Source organism: Homo sapiens, chromosome 3 (genome assembly GCF_000001405.40).
Source record: "Homo sapiens chromosome 3, GRCh38.p14 Primary Assembly".
Lineage (NCBI taxonomy): Eukaryota > Metazoa > Chordata > Mammalia > Primates > Hominidae > Homo > Homo sapiens.
Genome location: NC_000003.12, coordinates 128,137,732 through 128,158,821, shown reverse-complemented (window position 1 = coordinate 128,158,821; position 21,090 = coordinate 128,137,732). Strand labels below are relative to the sequence as shown.

Below are 21,090 nucleotides of genomic sequence, written 5' to 3'. Positions count from 1 at the left end.
CTCTACAAATGAGGCTTACCTCAAAGATATTGTGCATTCAGTTCCAGACCACTGCAGCACAGTGAATATCACAATAAAGCAAGTCAAATTTTTTGGTTTCCCAATGTGTATAAAAGTTATGTTTACATGACATGTCGTCAATTAAGTGTGCAATAGTAGTATGTCTCAAAAAACAATAAACATTCCTTAATTTTAAAATAATTCATTGCTAAAAAATGCTAATGATTACTGAACCTTCAGCAAGTCATAATCTTTTTGCTGGTGGAGGGTCTTGCCTCAATGGTGATGGTTGCCGACTGATCAGGGTGGTGGTTGATGAAGGTTGGGGTGACTGTGGCAATCTAATGAAATAAGACAATGAAGTTTGCCACATCAGGTGACTCTTCCTTTTACAAAAATTTATCTGTAGCATGTGAAGCTGTTTGATGGCATTTTACTCACAGAATTGCTTTCAAAACTGGAGTCAGTCCTCTCAAATCTTGCCACTGCTTTATCAACTAAGTTTATGTAATATTCTAAATCCTTTGTTGTCATTTCAACAATGTTTACAGCATCTTCACCAGGAGTAGGTTCCATCTCAAGAAACTACTTTCTTTGCTCATGCACAAGAAGCAACTCCTCATCCACTCAAGATTGATCATGAGATTGTAGCAATTCAGTCATATCCTCAGGCACCACTTCTCATTCTAACTCTCTTGCTATTTCTACCACATCTGCAGTGACTTGCTCCACTGAAGTCTTGAACCCCTCAGTCATCCATGAGGGTTGGAATCAACCTCTTCCAAATTATTGTTACTGTTGATATTTTTACCTCCTCCCATGAATCACAAATGTTCTTTATGGCATCTAGAATGATAAATCCTTTCCAGAAGGTTTTCAATTTACTTTGTCCAGATCCATCAGAGGAATTATTATCTTGGGCAGCTATGGCCTTATGAAATATATTTCTTAAATAATAAGACCTGAAAGTCAAAATTACTCCTTGACCCATACACTGCAGAATGGATGCTGTGTTAGCAAGCATGATAACAAATTAATCTCTTTGTACATCTCCATCAGAGCCATTAGGTGACCAGGTGCATTATCAACAATCAGTAATATTTTGAAAGGAGTATTTTTTCTAAGCAGTAGGTCTCAACAGTGGGCTTAAAATATTCAGTAAACCATGCTATAAACAGATGTGCTGTCATCCAGGCTGCGTTGTGCCATTTCAAGAGCACAGGCTGAATAGATTTAGCATAATTCTTAAGGGCCCTAGGATTTTTGGAATGGTCAATGAGCAATGGCTTCAGCTGCATTAGCCCCTAACAAGAGTCAGCCTGTCCTTTGAAGCTTTGTACCCAGTCATTGACTTCTCTGTAGCTATGAAAGTCCTACATAGCATCTTCTCCATATAAGGCTGTTCCATCTACAGTGAAAATCTGTTTAGTGTACTCACCTTCATCAATGATCTTAGCTAGATCTCCTGGATAACTTGCTGCAGCTTCTCTATCACCATTTGTTGTTTCATCTTGTACATTTATGTTCTGGAGATGGCCTCTTTCCTCAAACCTCATGAACCAACTTCTGCTAGCTTCAAACTTTTCTTCTGCAGCTTCCTTACCTCTCTCAGCCTTCATAGAATTGAAGAGTTAGGGCCTTGCTCTGGATTAGGCTTCCACTTAAGGGAATGTGGTAGCTGGTTTGATTTTCTATCCAGACCACTAAAACTTTCTCTATAAAGCAATAAAGCTGTCTTGCTTTCTTATCATCTGTGTGTTCACTACAGTAGCACTTTTAATTTCCTTCAGGAACTTTTCCTTTGCGTCCAAAACTTTGCTGTTTGGTGTGGTGTAAGAGGCCTTGCTTTCAGCCTATCTCAGTCTTCAACATTGCCTTCATCACTAAGCTTAATCATTTCTAACTTTTGATTTAAAGTGAGAGACTTGCAACTCTTCCTTTCCCTTGAACGCATAAAGGCTATTAGCTGGATGAATTTTAATATTGTTGTGTCTCAGGGAATAGGGAGGCCTGAGGAGAGGGAGACAGACAGGGAAAAAGCCAGTAGGTAGAACAGTCAGAAAACACACAACATTTATTAAGTTTGCTGCCTTACATAAGCATTGTTTGTGACATTTCAAAATTACAATAGTAACATCAAAGATCACTGATCCCAGATCACCATTAACAGATGACATGTGTTTGAAATGAAGTGAAATGTTTGATGCTTAATATTTGATGAAAAGTTTGAAATATTGTTAAGAATAACCCAAATGTGGCATAGAGACACAAAGTAAGCAATGCTGTTGGATGGGTTGCCTTGAACCTTCGATTTGTAAAAACCACTATCTGCAAAGTACAATCAAGTGAAGCACAATAACATGAGGTATGCACGTATGTTGGAAGCGGATGAGGGAACTATAGGGTAACCTGGGGAAGCATGCAAAGGACTCCAGCTTTGGAGTCAGGCAGACCTGGACTGTTTCACTAACTACCTGCCTCCCTAAGTCCCAATTTTCTCAACTATTAAATGGTAACCACCACGCTCCTTGCAGGGTTTGCCTGGTAAGCAGCAAATACACAAGAAAAGTCAAGCCAATAAATAGTTGTGTGGTTACCACTATCTTCCAGTTGGAGCAAGGTCCAGAATTAGGTTCAAACGTCATACAGCTAAGGAAGAAAGCAAGCTAGGCTTCAAGCCCAGTTTTGTCTGACTCCAAAAGTATGTCCTTCACCACTCATCTACCCTATTTACTAGACAACACTAAAAACTCGCCATCTCATTTTTTAACCTCTGCCTTCCACCTCCAGTCTGGACTGGCTCAGAGTCCATGTTCTAAAATGTACTTTGATGTGACCAAACAGAATTCAGTTATAAGGGGGCAGGGAGGAATGGGTAGAGAATTGTGTGCCCCTTGAAATTCACCTGACTGAAACATGGATTGAGGAGAAGACTTTAGATAGTGTGACCCTGAGCAAGTCCCTTCACTTCTTCAAACTTCTATTTCCTCTACTGTAAAATGGGGAAATGATCTCAGACTGCCTGTAACATGAAACAGTTGGGAGGTAACAAAGATGAAGTACTGTACTTAACAAGCTCACCATTATAGCTGGGACCCAGAATGCCCAGTGACCAATGAGGCCATCTGCCACCAAGCCAATTATCATCTGCCCAATATATATTCCCATGTGTGGCATACAGAATATTGCTGGAAGGAAACACAAGAAAATGGGAACAGAAAGGTAATCAGGTACTGGGGTCAGCAGTGAGAAGTATACTTCTTTAGCTATATACCCTTTTATACCATGTGTTTATATTATTGTATCATTTTTTCTAAAAACAAAACATGTTTTAAAACTCTATCCATATATTTAAGTGGAGTTAAATGGGTCTGGAAAAGTAATCCACAAAGGTATAATAATGGTCTTTTCAGCCAGGCACAGTGGCTCACACCTGTAATCCCAGCACTTTGGGAGGCCGAGGCATGGGGATCACGAGGTCGAGATCAAGACCATCCTGGCCAATATGGTGAAACCCCATGTCTACTAAAAATATAAAAATTAGCCAGGTGTGGTGATGTGCACCTGTAGTCCCAGCTACTTGGGAGGCTGAGGCAGGAGAATCGCTTGAACCGGGGAGAAAGAGGTTGCAGTGAGCCAAGATTGCACCACTGCACTCCAGCCTGGTAACAGAGCGAGACTCCATCTCAGAAAAAAACAAAAAAACAAAAAAACAAAAAACGGGTCTTTTCATTTGCAGAGATAGGAGGGGTACAGAATTTAGGACAGAGGAGTGGGTAAGGGAATGTTTGTCTTATTTGTGATGTTCTATTTCTTCACAAGTAGCATGTATTCATGTATTACATGTATAATTAAAAATTAATGGTACCTCTTTGTGGGGCATTTTGGCAGTACCCACCACGACCGAAAACACACATGCCCCTTGCCCCAGCCAGTTATTATCTATTATCCTACATATATGCGAACATACCAAAGAGTTCTGTTCTAGAATATTCACTGCAAAATGGTTTGTAAATACTGGAAACAGCATAAACGTCCATCATTAAAAGATTTGTTCAGAAAATGTTGGTACAGGCCGGACGTGGTGGCTCACGCCTGTAATCCCAGGACTTTGGGAGGCCAGGGCGGGCGGGTCATGAAGTCAGGAGTTTGAGACCAGCCTGACCAACATGGTGAAACCCGTCTCTACTGAAAATACAAAAAAATTAGCCGGGCGTGGTGGCGCGCGCCTGTAATCCCAGCTACTCAGGAGACTGAGGCAGGACAATCGCTTGAACCCAGGAGGCGGAAGTTGCAGTGAGCCGAGATCGTGCCACTGCACTCCAGGCTGGGCGACAGAACAAGACTCTGTCTCAAAAAGAAAAAAAAAAAAAGAAAAAGAAAATGTTGGTACAAGGGTGCAGTTGAATTCTATGTGAGCTTTAAAAAGAATGATGTAGCTTTGTGTACAGATATGGGGCACTCTCCAGACACAATGTTGAGTGAAATCGTGTCTAAAAGGATGAGGGAAAGAGGGATTTATACATACACACAGATATGCTTGTATTGACGTGGAGCCTTTCTGAAATGATATACAAAAACTGGTAGCAGCGGTTGGCTCTAGGAACGGGAATCAGACCAAATGACAGGTGAATGAAGACAGCCTTTGTATGTATACCCTTTTTGTAGCTTGTGAGTTTTCTTATTTTGAGTTTTCTTTACTTGACCATGTATTATAAACACATTTGGTAGGGATTTTTTGATTTTTTTTTTTTTTTTTTTTTAAGGAAGGCGCCTTGCAGCTCGGTTCTGCTGGATGGGAAAAGCTGAATCTCAAAGCCTCCGCTCACTTGCTGCGGAGCCCTAGGCAAGTCACGTCCGCCTCTTGGGGCGTCAGGAGCCCCACCAATGAGGTGGGGCGATTTCCCGTCCCGGCAAAGGCTCGAGCGAATTCGGACACGGGGCCCGGTCGCTCCGCCCGCGTCCCTGAGCCCGGCTCCCGCCCCGGCCCGCGCTCACCGCCGATGATGGTCCGGATGAGGGAGGCGTGCCCGGGGCAGTCGACCAGCGTGACCTGAAGCAGTGGCTCGCCGGGCTCGGGCTCGGCCTCGGGCGCTGCCTGGAACTCGGGCAAAGACGACCGCAGGCGCGCGGGCAGCGGCACCGAGAAGCACGAGAAGCCCAGATCGAGCGTGATGCCGCGCTCGCGGCTCTGCGGCTGCTTGTCAAAGGCGGCGGTGGAGGCTGTGGTGCTTAGCGCCCGCGCCAGCGCCGTCTTGCCGCTGTCGATGTGGCCCAGCACGCCCACGTTCACGTTCACCCGCCGCCCTGCCATGCCGCCGCCGCCGCCTCGGACACCCGCCCGGCCCGCCCCTCACCTCCCTCGGTAGTCGCCGCGGTCCGGCCCGTTAAGTTGCCCCCCCGTAACCGGCGCGCTGTGCACACCCGTTCCGGCCCGGAAGCTTCCGCCCTCCTGAGGCTCACGGGCACAGCCGAGCGCCGTGCTCCGAGTGGGTGGTCTAGGAACTGGAGGTCACCGTAGGCAGGGTTTCTCTCTCACGTGGCTCCTCCTGCCTGAAGCCTCTAGGAGCCCGAGATGGAGGGATCCTTCTGAGAAGTGAAGCCATTTGGACTTTCTGGGTGAGTGGAGACTTGGAGAACTTTTCTATAGCTATCAAGAGGATTGTAAAATGCACCAATCAGCGCTCTGTAAAACGCACCAATCAGTGCTCTGTAACATGCACCAATCAGCAGGATCCTAAAAGAAGCCAATCACAGGGAGGATTGAAAAAAGGGCGCTCTGATAGGACAAAAACGGAACATGGGGGGGCGAAGGGGGGCGGGGGGGGCGGGGTGGGCGGGGGGAAGACGGGGGCGGGGGGGGCGGGAAGACGGGGGCGGGGGGGAGGGCGGGGGGACGGCGGGGGGCGGGGGAGGGCGGGGGGACGTGGGGGAGGGGGCAAATAAGGGAATAAAAGCTGGCCACCCCCGCCAGCAGCAGCAACCCTCTCAGGTGCCCTTTCGCATTGCAGAAGCTTTTTGCTCTTCACAATAAATCTTGCTGCTGCTCACTCTTTGGGACTGTGCCATCTTTAAGAGCTTTAACACTCACTGCGAAGGTCCGCGGCTCCATTCTTGAAGTCAGCGAGACTAGGAACCCACTGGAAGAAACCAACTCCGGACACACTTCCAATCATTCATACATTTCAGCAAGATCTTACCAAGTGCCTGGTGGGTTCCGCTGGGCTACAGTGCCCGCTAATATTACATTCAGGGGGTGAGGGCTAAGTCAAACAATACAGCCTGAACCAGACCATTTCAGAGAGCGAGAAGTCTCCTAGGGAAAATAAAAGCTGAGATAAAAAGGAGCAGGAGAGGGAGGATGGACAGCTACCTAACTGTGGGTCAGGGAAGACATCTAGGAGTTGCTGTTTGAGTTGAAACTCCAGTGTTGAGAAGGAGCCAACCATGGGAAAAGATGGTTTGAAGATGGAAGAGGACAACATTATCTCTGACTCAGAAATTCTCACCCTGAGAGTCTGTAGCCTGGGCTTAGGAGAGGCCACAAACCTCTAAATTGAACGCACAATGTGTTGTGATGTGCTCTTGCTAGACAGAGGGTCGACAACTCTCACTAGATTCTGAAGTGTCTAGAACCACAAAAAAGGTTGTCAGCCATAGTCACCAACCAGAGGTAACAAACCTAAGTGTCTGCTCTGGCCAGGTGGTGGGTAAATCAAAGAAGAGAAGTTAAAAGAGTCTAAGATGACAGGGAGTGGTGGGGACCTGGGAGACCTGGAGAGCCCTTTTCCTGTGCAAAGAGGGAAGCCACTGCTCAGTCTCAGCCAGTGATACCAGGCAGGAATGCTAGCCCAACATTGCCTCCTCCTTCCATTTTTCTGGAGAAGAGAGTGTTTTTGTAACACTGTGGCGGTGGAGCACAAAGTTCACAGGATCTTACCTTTGCCCTCTGTGATGAGCCAGACCATGTGCGGATGTATTCATGCTTGCAGTAACTGCCTCCTTCGTTCCACCACTCTCCACTAGGAACAGAGTCCATGTCATAGACTGAATTGTGTCCCTCTCAAATTCATATGTGGACACCCTGACCCCCAGTGTGATAGTATTTGGAGATGGGACGTTTGGGAGGTTAGATGAGATCATGAGAGCGGGCCCTTGTGATGGGATTAGGGTCCTTACAAGAAGAGAACAGAATCTTTGTTTCCGTTTTCCCACCTTGCAAATAGGAAACTGTAAAAATACGCCTCCCATTAAAAAAAATCTAGTAGTAAAAGCAGTAAACGTATTTAAAAGGGAGGGTTAGTAAATAGGTAATAAGAGCTTTAGAGGCTTTATGTACCTCTGAGAAATATTTCAACTAACAAAGACTTTGTACAGGGCCTGGCTTCAAATAAACCTCATTTCTTACCTCTGTTTTAAACAGAATCCTGAAATGGTAATGAAAAGAAAAAAGGTTTGGCTGGGCACGGTGGTTCATGCCTGTAATCCCAGCACTTTGGGAGGCTGAGGCAGGCAGATCACTTGATATAGTTTATATATCTATATATAGAATATATATAGATTTTATATATAGATATATAGAGTATATATATATAGAATATATACAGTGTATATATAGAATATATAGAGTATATATAGAATGTATATAGAGTATATATAGAATATATATAGAATATATAGAATATATATAGAATATATATAGAATATATACAGAATATATATAGAATATATAGATATATAGAGAATATATAGAGAACATATAATATATATAGAATATATAGAATATAGAATATATATTATATATATAATATATAATATAATATATATAATATATATAGAATATATAATATATAATATATAGAATATATAATATATATAATATATAGAATATATTATATATATAATATAGAATATTATATTATATATATAGAATATATATATAGAATATATATATATAATATATAATATATAGAATATATATAGAATATATAATATATAGAATATATAATATATAGAATATATAATATATAGAATATATATAGAATATATAATATATAGAATATATAGAGAATATATAATATAGAATATATATAGAATATATAATATATAGAATATATATAGAATATATAATATATAGAATATATATAGAATATATGTATAGAATATGTATAGAATATATGTATAGAATATATACATAGAATATATATTCTATTAGTTCTGTCAAATATATATATTCTGTGGAATATATATATGGAATATACATATATACATATGGAACATACATATATACATATGGATGTATATTCCATACAATGGAACATACATATATATATATATAATGGAATATATATACACATATATGGAATATATATACATATATGTATACATATTCCAAGATGGAAGAGGACAACATTATCTCTGACTCAGAAATTCTCACCCTGAGAGTCTGTAGCCTGGGCTTAGGAGATATATATATATTCCATGTATATTCCATTAGTTCTGTCCCTCTAGAGAATCCTGACTAATACAAATCTTCTAACAAATATTCTAACAAATATTGATTGAACACCTGCTGTGTGGCAGACATGATATTTTGGAGGGATACAACTGTGGATGAATAAGGCAAATAATGATGAAGTGCTTTGGGAGAAATAAGGCAGCATGGCTGAGAGTTACTGGTGCAAGGGAGGAGGATGCTTATTAAGGGAGAGGCATTTGAGCTGACAAAGATGCAAGAGAAGGGCCAGGCTGCACAGAACCGAGGGAAATTGATGAAAGAACGTGCTGCACAGAGAAAACAGCAGGCTCAGAGACAGCAGCAACCTAAGCCATGTGGCACGTGGCGAGGTGGGGCTGAAGAGAAGAAGCTGCATGCTAAGCATATCCTGAAAATGTCTTTCAAAGTATGGTTTTAGCCTGGTGGTGTGGCCTTCTGAAGCATCAAAGGCAGAAGCTCTGGAAAGCTGGCCAGAGGCCAAAGCCAGACTTCCCCAGAAAACAGAATCTCACCAATGCTGAGATTGGTGTTACAACATCACCGAAGTCTCCCTCCTTGTGTGGGCTCTGGTTGTGTGGCTGGCCCAAGGGTCTCAGAAACAGATTCCCATGGAGAGAAACCATTGAGACTCACTCCTTCCTCCAGACAGTTGCTCTGGAAGCGTTTCAGGCCCCAGCCTCTTGTTCTTTTGGGCCCCAAGGAAAGTAGTCTTCATGAAAAGGCATGTTCTAGTACCAAGTATTTCTTTTCTATATTGTATGTAGTAGCAAAATATTATAAACAAAGTAAATGTCCTTAAAAAGAATAATTATGGTAAGTTTGAAATTATATCAAGACAAAGGCCAGGCATAGTGGCTTACACCTGTAACCCCAGCACTTTGAGAGGCGAAGGCGGGCAGATCACTTCAGGCCAGAAGTTCAGGACCAGCCTGGCCAACATGGCAAAACCCCGTCTCTACTAAAAGTACAAAAATTAGCCAGGCATGGTGGTGCATGCCTGTAATCCCAACTGCTCGGGAGGCTGAGGCACGAGAATTGCTTGAACCCGGGATGCAGAGGTTGCAGTGAGCCATGATCGCACCACTGCACTCCAGCCTGGGCAACAGAGTCTTGCTCTGTCAAAAAAAAAAAAAAAGAAAGAAAGAAAGAGGAAAGAAGAGAAATTATATCAGATACAAAGCTACCAAAAAGAAAAGAAAGAAAGGAAAGGAAAAGAAGAAAGAAAAAAGAAATTATATCAGACACAAAGCTACCAAAAATCATAATTTAAAAGAAGAGTGTGTGGCAGTCTAGACTGGCCCTGAGTTGATCATTGTTGGGTAATGGGTCTTGGGGGTTCATTATTCTGTCTACATTTTTGATATGTTCAAAGTTTTCCATAATGAAAAACTGTAAATAGAAAAAGAGAGATCATGGTCTGTCTATACTGTGGAATACGATGCAGACTTTGAAAAGAACAAAGAAGCTGTTTGTACACTACTTGGGAACAATCTCTAAGATAATATTGGTAACTGAAAAAATAGGGTGCACACTAGTGTGTGTAGCATGTTTGCATTTATGAAAAATGCACTCTCTATATATATGTGCTTGTACAAGTACAGAATAGCCCTACAAGGATACATAAGAGATGGATAACAGCAGACACAAGAAGGTCCCAGGGCTCAGCCCTCCAACTTTCTCTCTATATGTTTACTCCCTGGTGATGTCTATGTCTCTTGGCGTTACAAGCCATTGACTCCCAAATTCAGGTTCTGTGTGTGAGCCTGCAGCCAGGAGCCTCCCCCTCCTAACTGCAGGCTCACATACACAACCTGAATGTGTAATAGGCATCTCAAACTTACATGTCAAGGTCAGAATTTCTGGTTTTACCCTCCACTCCACTCCCATCACAGTGAATGAGAACTGCATCCTCCCAGTTTTTTAAGCAGCAAACTGGCTCAGTTCTTGACTCCTCTCTTTCTTTCATACACCACATCCAATTCATTAAAAAATTCTGTTGGTTTTACCCTTAGAATCCAATCCCCTCTGAACATCTCTACCATCAGCACTTGATCTAAGCCATCATCTCTTCACCTGGATTACTGCAACAGTAAAATTCACCCTTGTTGGTGTACGGCTCTATGAGCTTTGGCCAATGCATGATATCAGGTAATCACCATCACAATCAAGATACAAAACAGACTCAACCCTCAAAAAAAAAAAAGCCCTTTATGATCAACCCCTCCTACACCTTTAACCTCTGGCAGATAGTTATCTATGTTCTCTGTCTCTACAGGCTTTGCCTTTTCCAGAACATCATATAAGTGGAAGCAAACAGTAGGTAACCGTTGGGGTCCAGCTTCTTTCACTTAGCATAATGCATTTGAGATTTATCCATGTTGTTGTGTATAACTGCAGTGTGTGGTCCTTTTTATCACTGTGTAGTATTCCATCATATGGATGGATCATCATTTGGTTGCCCAGTCACCTGTTGAAGGGCATTTGGGTTGTTTCCAGGTTTTGGCTATTATAAAGCTGCTCTAAACACTTATGTATAGGTTTTATGCCAACATAAGTTTCACTCAGGTAAATACCAAAAGTGAGATTGTTGGGTCATATGGCAAGTGGGTTTTAACTTTATAAGAAACTGCTGAACTGTTTTCCAGAGTGGCTGTATCATTTTACATTCCCGCAGCAATGTATAAGAGTTTCGCTTGCTCAGCATCATCAGTTGTATTTGGTATTGTTGAGTGTCTTGTTTTTGTTTTTGTTTTAGAGATGGGGTCTCACTCTGTCATCCAGGCTGGAGTGCAGTGGCATAATCATAGCTCACTGCAGTTTCAAACTCCTGGGCTCAAACCATCCTCCCGCCCCAGCCTCCTGGGTAGCCTAGCCAATTTTTAAAATTTTTTGTAAAGATGGAGTCTCATTATGTTACCTAGGCTGTTTTGTTTTGTTTTTAATTTTAGCTTTTCTTGCAGGATGTGGTGGCTCATGCCTGTAATCCCAGCATTTTGGGAGGCCAAGGTGGGAAGATCATTTGAGCCCAGGAGTTGGAGACCAGCCTGGGAAACACAGTAGGGCTCCACCTCTACAAAAAACACAAAAATTAGCCAGGTATGGTGGCACATGCCTGTGGTCTCAGCTACTCAAGAGGCTGAGGTGCGCGGATCCCTTGACCCCAGGAGGTCAAGGCTGCAGTGAGCCGATTGTGCCACTGCACCCCAGCCCGGGCAACAGAGCAAAACCTTGTCTCAATAATAATTATAATGTTGGCCTTTCCAATAGGTGTGTTGTGGTATCTCATCATGGTTTTAATTTACTGAAGCTGTTCTTTTACTAGGACTCCCTGCATCTGCTCTTGTTCTCCTATAGCCTGTTCTGCTTACAGAAGCTGGAGTGAGCCTTTATCTCCTCATCTCACTTGGACGAGGAGCCACAGTCCTTACAGCAGCACAGTGGCAGGCAAATGGGGCCATGCACACTCACAGAGACACAAACGCACACAAGTGCGCACACACACAGATGCATGCACACACACACAGACACATGGACACACGTGCACACGCACAGAGACACACAGATGTACGTACACACACGTGCACACAGCGGCAGGCAGATGGGGCCATGCACACGCACAGAGACACATGTGCATGCACACAGATGCACACGCAAACATGTGCACACGCATGAGACACACACGCATACATGCACGCACACACAGACGTGCACACAGCGGCAGGCAAATGGGGCCATACACACACATAGAGATACACAGACGCACATGCACATGCCCGTGCACACGCACAGAGACACACACACACAGATGCACGCACACACACGTGCTCACAGCGGCAGGCAAATGGGGCCATACACACACATAGAGATACACAGACGCACATGCACACGCCCGTGCACACGCACAGAGACACACACACAGATGCACGCACACACACTTGCTCACAGCAGCAGGCAAATGGGGCCATGCATAAGCACAGAGACACACGCACACATGCACACACACACACAGACGCACGCACATGCACAGAGACACACATACACACACATACACACACCATGCTACCTTCCTGAACTCATCTCCTGTTTTCTTCTGGCTCCAGCCACACTGGCCCCCTTGCTGTTACTCAAAGCCCCCAAGCATGGACCAGAGCATTTTTCTCCCAAACCTCTAAATGGCTCACCCCTCACCTCCTCCAAGTTCAACTGTCACGTCCTGCATTAGCCCTGCCCTGGACAGCCTCTCTAAAAGTACAGCCCCCTCCCTACTCCTGATCCCCCTTATCCTGCTCCAGTTTCTCCTTTGCGCATATCACCTTTGAACATACGTGTATGGTTTATTTCCTTATTATGTTCATTCCTCATTATCTGCTTCCCCCTGGGTTTAGCACAGTGCATATAGGTGGTGCTCAATAAATGTTATCTCCAGGGAGGGGAACAGGTTGGCTGGAGGGAAGACAGAAAGACATTTTACTTGAAATACATTGGCATTTTTTGAATTTTAAATCATGTGAAAGTATTACCTATTCAATAAGTAAATTTTTTAAAATTTGAAAAAGTGTCCTAAAGGCACCAGTAGGACTAAGATTCCTTAGTTTGTAGTCCCCAAGGGAAGAGTTACAAATGCTTTATCACTGTCACCTGTGGATAGACTGACTCCTCACCCCACCCCAGCTCACCCTGCCATGCTCCTCTCCGTTTCTCTCCCTGTGCCTGGTGACCCTGAACCTGTGAAATCCTGCACACACACACCGTGCCCATCCACCCCACCCCAACACTCGCCCGCGGGCTACTTCCTTGGGCTGGCACGCCCTCTGGAAGCTTCCTCAGACCTCTGGGGGCTGGATTGGCTACCTCCATGTCATGTTCTGCACAGTCATGCTTTTTGAGGACAAATGACAGAAACTCACAGTGAAACTGACTTAAGCAAAAAAGGGAACATGCTGGCCCATGGTGTAGTGAAAAGCACAGACACTGCTTGTGTCCAGTCCTGCTCCCACCAGCTGGAAATTGTGGAGCCTTGGGCACATTACAAAACTGCTTTGTGCCTCAGTTTCTTCATTTGTCAAATGGGGCATAATACTTCCTAACTCACAGGGTAATGATGATTATATGAATTGGTATGTCTATAGCACTTAGAGCAATTCCTGGTATATTAATAAGTGCTATATCAGAGTTTGTGAATTTAAATAAATAAACCTAGCTAAAAAGTCTGGGGGAAGAGCTTGCTTCATCCAGGGGCTCAGATGACAACATGAAGACACTGACTTTGTCTCTTTCTCTCCGTTCCTCCTTCCTCTGAGTTGTCACCATTCCCAGACAGGCTCCCCCCTCACAATGACAAAGTGGCTGTCAGCAGCTCCACAAAGTCCCCAAACCAAGTCTCCTTGGCCCTGATGAAGTCATGTGCCCCTGCACCAAGAGAGAAATCCAGTGCTCTGCCTAGCCAGGTGTGGGTCATGAGCCCACCCCAAGAATGGGGGGAAGGAGGGACCAGGGGATCCCCTACAGGAAATGGAGAGCTGTTCCCAGCAAAATGCAGGTTGCTTCACGCCTCCTATAGTCTACTGTCTCTGTCCTACCATCCCTCCCACTAAGCTGAGTTTGCTTTAGACCAGGCAGGTGCTCCAGAGCTCTTCCCCTTCCTGGTAGCTGAGGATGCCTGGAGAGCAAGGGCCTCACCTTGCATATCTTTGATAGCCCTGGGCCTGGCACACGCAAAGCCCCATAACTGCTTCTTGAATGCACTCACCACCAAACCTCTAGCCCACGAAGACATCCTCCTCTGCAACAGACTCCGTGGGCCCCCTACAGTTCCACAGGCTGGACACAGTCCCTGGGAAAATTAGTGACGGGAAACAGCCTGCAGAACTGCGATTATTTGGGATTTGTTCTTCATGTTAATGCGATGCTGGTTCCTTTCTGTTTCTTTAATGCCATTTTGTACTAAGGTAGTTCAAAGTTCTTTACAAACAGCTAGTAATTAATTCAACTTCATTAAGGCCAATTAATCCAGGATTAATTATAAATTTGCCCAGAGGAAGTTATTATACTTTGCTCTTTGATTTGAGTTTTGGCTTTAAAGAGTCTTTCAGGAGTGAAATGGAAATTTCCCTTTTCTCTGAGGGTATCTACCTCGCCAGTAATTGTGTTAACCATGTGCCTTCCTCAGTAGGTCCCATGCCAACCTCTAAGGAGGCTGCCACCCAGGTCAGCTGAGCTACATAACATTCAGCATTAATCAGATCTGCCAATGCCACATTTAGCCACGGGTCAAGGAAGCCTGATATAGTGGCAAGAACTCCTCCACGCGGGTTCAAATCATGGCTGTACCTCATGCTGGCAGTGTGACTTCACCATCTCTTCCACCTGCAAAATGGGCATCACAGTGTTTCACAAGATCATTGTGGTCGGTAGTGGTCAGCACCTACTCCCTCTTCTTTTGTAAGAGCTCCTCAATTATCCTTGGAAAGTTCTTCCCTCCTTTCTTCCAGGTCTCGAGGGGGCTGACCTCAGTCTCAGTTCCAGGGATGAGCCTGAGACTCAGTACTAACCAAGCAGCATGGTCCATCCTGCTGGCCGCAGTGACTGGATTGTTAGTGAACCTAACAACCCAAGTTGGCCTAGTCACAGCCAACCCTGGCATATTTCCCAGGGCAAGCAATACGAAAGTGTACTCTTTGCCACTGGACTGAAATCTGGGGCATGCAGGCCTGGGCTATGATGGGACCTCAGGAGAGGAGACCAGCCATGGCAGAATAGTGGCCCCCACAAAGATGTTCACATCCCGGAGCCAGTGAATATGTTACCTTCCATGGCCAAAGGGACTCCACAGATGTGATTAAGATGAGGGTCTTGGCGGGGCACTGTGGCTCACGCCTGTAATCCCAGCACTTTGGGAGGCTGAGAAGGGCGAATCACAAGGTCAGGAGTTTGAGACCAGCCTGACCAACATAATGAAACCTCGTCTCTACTAAAAATACAAAAATTAGCTGGGCATAGTGGCCCATGCCTGTAGTCCCAGCTACTCGAGAGGCTAAGGCAGGAGAATTGCTTGAACCCAGGAGGCGGAGGTTGTGGTGAGCCAAGATTGTGCCACTGAACTCCAGCCTGGGCAACAGAGCGAGACTCTGTCTCAAAAAAAAAAAAAAAAATAGATAAGGGTCTTGAGATGAGGAGATTATCCTGGAGTATCAGGGTGGGCCTGGTGTAATCATGAAGGGACCTTATAAGAGAGTGGCAGGAGGGTCTGGGCACTGTGGCTCAGGCCTGTCACCCCAGAACTTTGGGAGGCTGAGGTGGGTGGATCATCTGAGGTCAGGAGTTCGAGACCAGCCTGGCCAACATGGTAAAACCCCGTCTCTAATAAAAATACAAAAATTAGCTGAGTGTGGTGGCGTGCGCCTGTAATGCCAGCTACTCTGGAGGCTGAGGTGACAGAATTGCTTAAACCTGGCAGGCAGAAGTTGCAGTGAACCAAGATCACCCCTCTACATTCCAGCCTGGGCGACAGAGTGAGACTCCATCTCAAAAACAAAAAAAGGAGAGAGGCAGGAGGGTCAGAAGCAGAAAGATGACATCATAAGAAAGACTCAACTGGCCATTTTTGGCTTTGAAGGTGGAAAGGGGACCTGAGTCCAGGCATGTGGGCAGCCTGGAGAAGGCGAGAAAATGGATTCTTCCCCAGAATCCCTGGAAAGGAACGTGGCCCTAACAACACGTTCATTTTAGCCCAGTGAGACCCATTTTGGACTTCTGGCCTCCAAAACTGTAAGATTATTGATTTGTGTTGTTTTAAGCCACTAAATATGTTATGGCAGCAATAGGAAACCAATATAAACACTTAACTGGAGTGTCAAATCTATGTTCGTATTTATTGATTAAATGGATGGCTCCTAATTCCACCCTACCTCATCAGAGCTCTGCAAGGTCTTTACCAGGCTTATTCCACATCCTAGACCCAGGACCACAATTTGACAGTTAAGATCTTCACCAGAAGAGACCTCAATGCCTGCCCTCTTGTCAGACCAGCTGCATTCATCCAACCTACCCTGATTGACCTCTGACCCCACTACCATGTGCTCCAGACAGGACCCATGGGAGCTCCAGGCTCGGCCACGTTCCCAGGCAGACTCTGGGAGTCAGCGGATGTGGCCAGGTTTACCCATTGCGTTGGGACGTGCCTGCTGAAACGGAAACACTGCTCCCAGCAGAGGACTTTATGGTGGGAGGCATGGGCTTTGCCCTTGCTAACCTGACCTCTGTCCCCAGCCCAATTTCCCGTCTCTAGGCTCCAAAGCAGTTCCTGTGAGTGCCTAGGGGTACTGTTTCCATTTAAAAAATATGGCAAGTGCTCTCTTCAGCAGCACATATACTAAAATTAGAATGAGACAGAGACAGCATGGCCCCTGGGCAAGGATGACACACAAAACAAAAATTAATTAAAAACATAATCATGAAGGGGGAAAAGCATGACAAAATCTACTGCTAAGGCCAGGACACACAGAGAGAAGGCAACTATTAAGAAAAGAAAGCTGAGCACGGTGGCTCGTGCCTATAATCCCAGCACTTTGGGAGGCCGAGGCGGGTGGATCACCTGAGGTCAGGAGTTCGAGACCAGCCTGACCAATATGGTGAAACCCCGTCTCTACTAAAAATGAAAAATTAGCTGGGTGTTGTAGTGGGCATCTGTAATCCCAGCTACTCAGGAGTCTGAGGCAGGAGAATCGCTTGATCTGGGGAGGCAGAGGTTGCCGTGAGCCGAGATTGTGCCACTTACACTCCGGCCTGGGTGACAGAGCGAGACTCTGTCTCAAAAGAAAAGAAAAGAAAAGAAAAGAAAAAAAGTCCATGTCTTCATACTCCAAGGTGTTGACACCATGTGTTATGCCCCTCCCAGTGCTAGAGTCCCTCATTAAGATCTCATTTAATTATCTTAATAATCCTGTGAGTGTTGTCATCACTGTTTTACAGCAGAGGGGAATGAGAGGTAACTTGCTCAGAAAAAGCAGGATTTGAACCTGGGACATTTTGTGAGGTAAGGCTTACCAGGCCACCTGGAGCATCAGGACAGACCCCTCTGTTCCCAGACGAACCTTGGTTTATGTCAGATTTCCCCAGCCTTGGTGATATGAAGAGCCATCTTCAGAATTTCTGTGCTATCTAGGGAACACCTATGACTTAATTACCATTTTTCTTTCAATTGACCTGCTTTTTTTACTTAATGAAGTATTTCTCCATACATAGAAAACCATTATAACTTACCAGAAATAGTCAGAAACCACAAAAATAAATACAATAAAAACAACAGTAGGCTTTCCAAAGAATCTTTAATAAAAAGGAAGTCTAGCAAGTACAGTCATGTGTCCCTTAATGCCAGGGATACTTTTTGAGAAATGTGTCTTTAAGTGATTTTGTCATTGCATGAACATCATAGAGTATACTTATACAAACCTAGATGGTATATATACTAGTAAATATACATTTTTTTAATCTGGAAAACTAAATGTCCCAACATCTTTACTGAATATTGAATATCAATTATTTCCCCTACTTGATCTGAAATGCCAATGTCAAGTTTCTAATCAGGTTTTTATATATGCTCCATGATAATCTTATGAGACCACTATCTTATATGTGGTCTGTCATTGACCAAAATGTTGCTATGGGACACATGACGGTATGAGGAAGGAATTAAAGGCACACTCCAGTACACTAAAACTTACTAAAAGAAAACTAAAAAGGCAATAGTGTTCTCACTATATAAATCAATGTTAGTTACTTTTATGACTTTGTACCACCTATAAGGTGTCAGCAAAATCATCTCTATCCCTTTTGGCCCCAGAAGTCAGCCCAGGTCTGAAATAATAAGCATGCCCATTAGCTTGCCAATAATTAGAAAGGTGGATAAGTCCAAATGCTGCTGAAAACGTGGGAGCAGGTGCAGGGAGTGTGCCTATAATCTAAAAGCCAGCAGCCCCACCCCTGAGTAAGCTTTGTTCTCAGGTCTATTAGCACACAAGGATGAGCCCAGATCACGCCACTGCCCTCTAGCCTGGGTAACAGAGGGAGACTCCGTCTCAAAAAAAAAAAAAACAAACAAACAAAAAAACTTGTATCATATCATATTGAGGAAGTTTTTAAAAATTTTTTAATTATATGGGTACATAGTAGGTACATACATTTAAGGAGTACATGAGATATTTTGACACAGGCATACAATGTATAATCACATCAGGGTAAATAAGGTATTCACCATTTCAAGCGTACATAATTTATTTGTGTTACAAACAACCCAATTATACTCTTTTAGTTATTTTTAAATGTACAATAAGTTATTGTTGACTATAGTCACGCTGCTGTGCTATCAAACACTAGATTTTATTCATTCTAACTATAGTTTTGTACCCATTAAGCATTCCCACTCCGCATCCCCACTACCCTTCCCAGCCTCTTGTAACCATTATTGTACTCCCTATCTCATGGGAGTACAATTAAAAATTCTTTTAATTTTTAGTGTCGACAAATGAGTGAGAACATACAAAATTTGTCTTTCTGTGCCTGGCTTATTACACTTAACATCATCACCTCCAGTTACATCCATGTTGTTGCAAGTGACAGGATCTCATTCTTTTTTATTTTCTTTATCCATTCACCTGTTAATGGACACTTAGGATGCTTCTAAATTGTGGCTATTGTGAATAGTGCTGCAGTAAACACGGGAGTACAGATGTCTCTTAGACATACTGATTACTTTTTCTCCAGATTGTCACCAGCATTTTTTATTGCCTGTCTTTTGGATAAAAGCCATTTTAACTGGAGTGAGATGATACCCATTGTACTTTTGATTTGCATCTCTCTGATGATCAGTGATGGTGAGCACCTTTTCATATGCCTACTTGCCATTTGTATGTCTTCTTTTGAGAAACACCTATTCAGATCTTCTGCCTGTTTTTTCTAAATTGGATTATTAGATTTTTTCCTATTGAGTTGTTTGAGCTCCTTATATATTCTGGTTATTAATCCCTTGTCAGGTAAATAGTTTGCAAATATTTTCCCCCATTCTGTGGGTTGTCTCTTCACTTTGTTGATTGTTTCTTTGTTGTGCAGAGACTTTTTAACTTTATATAATCTCATTTGCCCATTTGTGTTTTGGTTGTCTGTGTTTATGGGGTATTACTCAAGAAATCTTTGCCCAGAAGGATGTCCTGGAGAGTTTCTCCAATGTTTTATTTTAGTGGTTTCATAGTTTGAGGTCATAGATTTAAGTCTTTAATCCATTTTGATTTGATTTTTGTATATGGAGAGAGATAGGGGTCTAGTTTCATTTTCTCTCGTATGGCTATCCACCATTTATTGAAGAGGCTATCCTTTCACCAGTGTATGTTCTTGGCACCTTTGTCTAATGAGTTCATTGTAAATGTATGGATTTGTTTCTGGGTTCTCTATTCTATTCCATTAGACTATGTTTTTGTTTTTGTTTTTAATGCCAGAACCATGCTGTTTTGGTTACTATAGCTCTGTAGCATAATTTGAAGTCAGGTTATGTGATTGCTACAGTTTTGTTCTTTTTGCTCAGGATGGCTTTGGTTATCCTGAGTCTTTCATGGTTGCATATAGATTTTAGGATTTTTTTTTCTATTTCTGTGAAAAATGTGATTGGTATTTTTATAGGGATTGCACTGAATCTGTAGATTGCTTTGGGTAGTATGAACATTTTAACAATATTGATTTTTTCAATTCATAAACATGGACTATCTTTCATTTTTTGTGGCCTCTTCAATTTCCTGCATGTTTTATAGTTTTCACTGTAGAGATCTCTGACTTCTTTGGTTGTTTATTCTTAGTATTTTATTGTATTTGTAGATATTGCAAATGGGATTTTCTTGATTTCTTTTTCAGACTGTTCACAGTTGGCATATAGAAATGCTACTGATTTTTGCATGTTGACTTTATATCCTACAACTTTATTGAATTTGTTTATCACTTTTAACAGTTTGTGTGTCGGTGTGTTTGTGTGTGTGTGCATGTAATCTTTAGTTTTTTGTAAATATAAGATCATATCTGCAAGGAAGAATAATTTGACCTCTTTCTTTCCGATTTGAATGCCTTTTATTTCTTTGTGTTGTCTGATTGCTCTAGCTAGGACTTCCAGTACTATGTTGAATAATAGTAGCAAAGGGGCATCCTTGTCTTGTTCTGGATTATAGGGGAAAGGCTTTCAGTTTTCCCCCATTCAGTATGACACTAGCTGTGGGTCTGTTGTATATGGCTTGTATTGTGTTGAGGTAGGTTCCTTCTATGCCAAGTTTTTTGAGGGCTTTTACTATAGTAGGATATTGAATTTTATCAAATGCTTTTTCAGCACCACTTGAAATGACCATATGGCTTTTGTCCTTCATTTTATTGATATGATGTACCACACTGGTTGATTTGCATATGTTGAAACATCCTTGCATCCCTATGGTAAATCCCACTTGGTTATGATGAATGATCTTTTTAATGTGTTGTTGAATTCACATTGCTAATATTTTGTTGAGGACTTTTGCGTTAATGTTCATCAGGGATATTGGCCTGTAGTTGTCTTTTCTTCTTTT

General features: G+C 43.1%; 2 protein-coding genes and 1 pseudogene across 12 annotated transcripts in view, besides 3 other annotated features; 2 read left to right on the top strand and 1 right to left on the bottom strand.

Moving 5' to 3' along the window:
- EEFSEC (eukaryotic elongation factor, selenocysteine-tRNA specific) overlaps positions 1 to 5,341 on the bottom strand; it is a 272,743-nt gene extending 267,402 nt beyond the window's left edge. For all 10 annotated transcript variants that reach the window (XM_024453695.2, NM_001437809.1, XM_024453693.2 and 7 more), the window contains exon 1: positions 4,999 to 5,341. In XM_024453695.2, coding sequence (XP_024309463.1) covers positions 4,999 to 5,314 — 316 coding nt within the window. In that variant the 5' untranslated portion in view covers positions 5,315 to 5,341. The remainder of the gene's footprint in view (positions 1 to 4,998) is intronic.
- Positions 4,831 to 5,350: a silencer, noted in NCBI's record as "silent region_14703". NCBI's record gives its function as "represses an Ori minimal core promoter by ATAC-STARR-seq in GM12878 lymphoblastoid cells {active_cell/tissue: GM12878}" and the evidence as "EXISTENCE:reporter gene assay evidence [ECO:0000049][PMID:35858748]".
- Positions 4,908 to 21,090, top strand: part of RUVBL1 (RuvB like AAA ATPase 1) — an 89,130-nt gene continuing 72,947 nt past the window's right edge. For both annotated transcript variants that reach the window (NM_001319086.1, XM_017007357.3), the window contains exon 1: positions 4,908 to 5,619. The gene's annotated coding sequence lies outside the window, so the exon portion shown is untranslated. The remainder of the gene's footprint in view (positions 5,620 to 21,090) is intronic.
- Positions 5,481 to 5,710: an enhancer, noted in NCBI's record as "active region_20477". NCBI's record gives its function as "activates an Ori minimal core promoter by ATAC-STARR-seq in GM12878 lymphoblastoid cells {active_cell/tissue: GM12878}" and the evidence as "EXISTENCE:reporter gene assay evidence [ECO:0000049][PMID:35858748]".
- Positions 11,652 to 12,221: an enhancer, noted in NCBI's record as "H3K4me1 hESC enhancer chr3:127865444-127866013 (GRCh37/hg19 assembly coordinates)". NCBI's record gives its function as "activates a minimal SCP1, AML or CMV promoter by ChIP-STARR-seq in primed H9 embryonic stem cells {active_cell/tissue: H9 hESC(primed)}" and the evidence as "EXISTENCE:reporter gene assay evidence [ECO:0000049][PMID:30033119]".
- On the top strand, positions 16,845 to 16,947 carry RNU6-823P (RNA, U6 small nuclear 823, pseudogene; annotated as a pseudogene).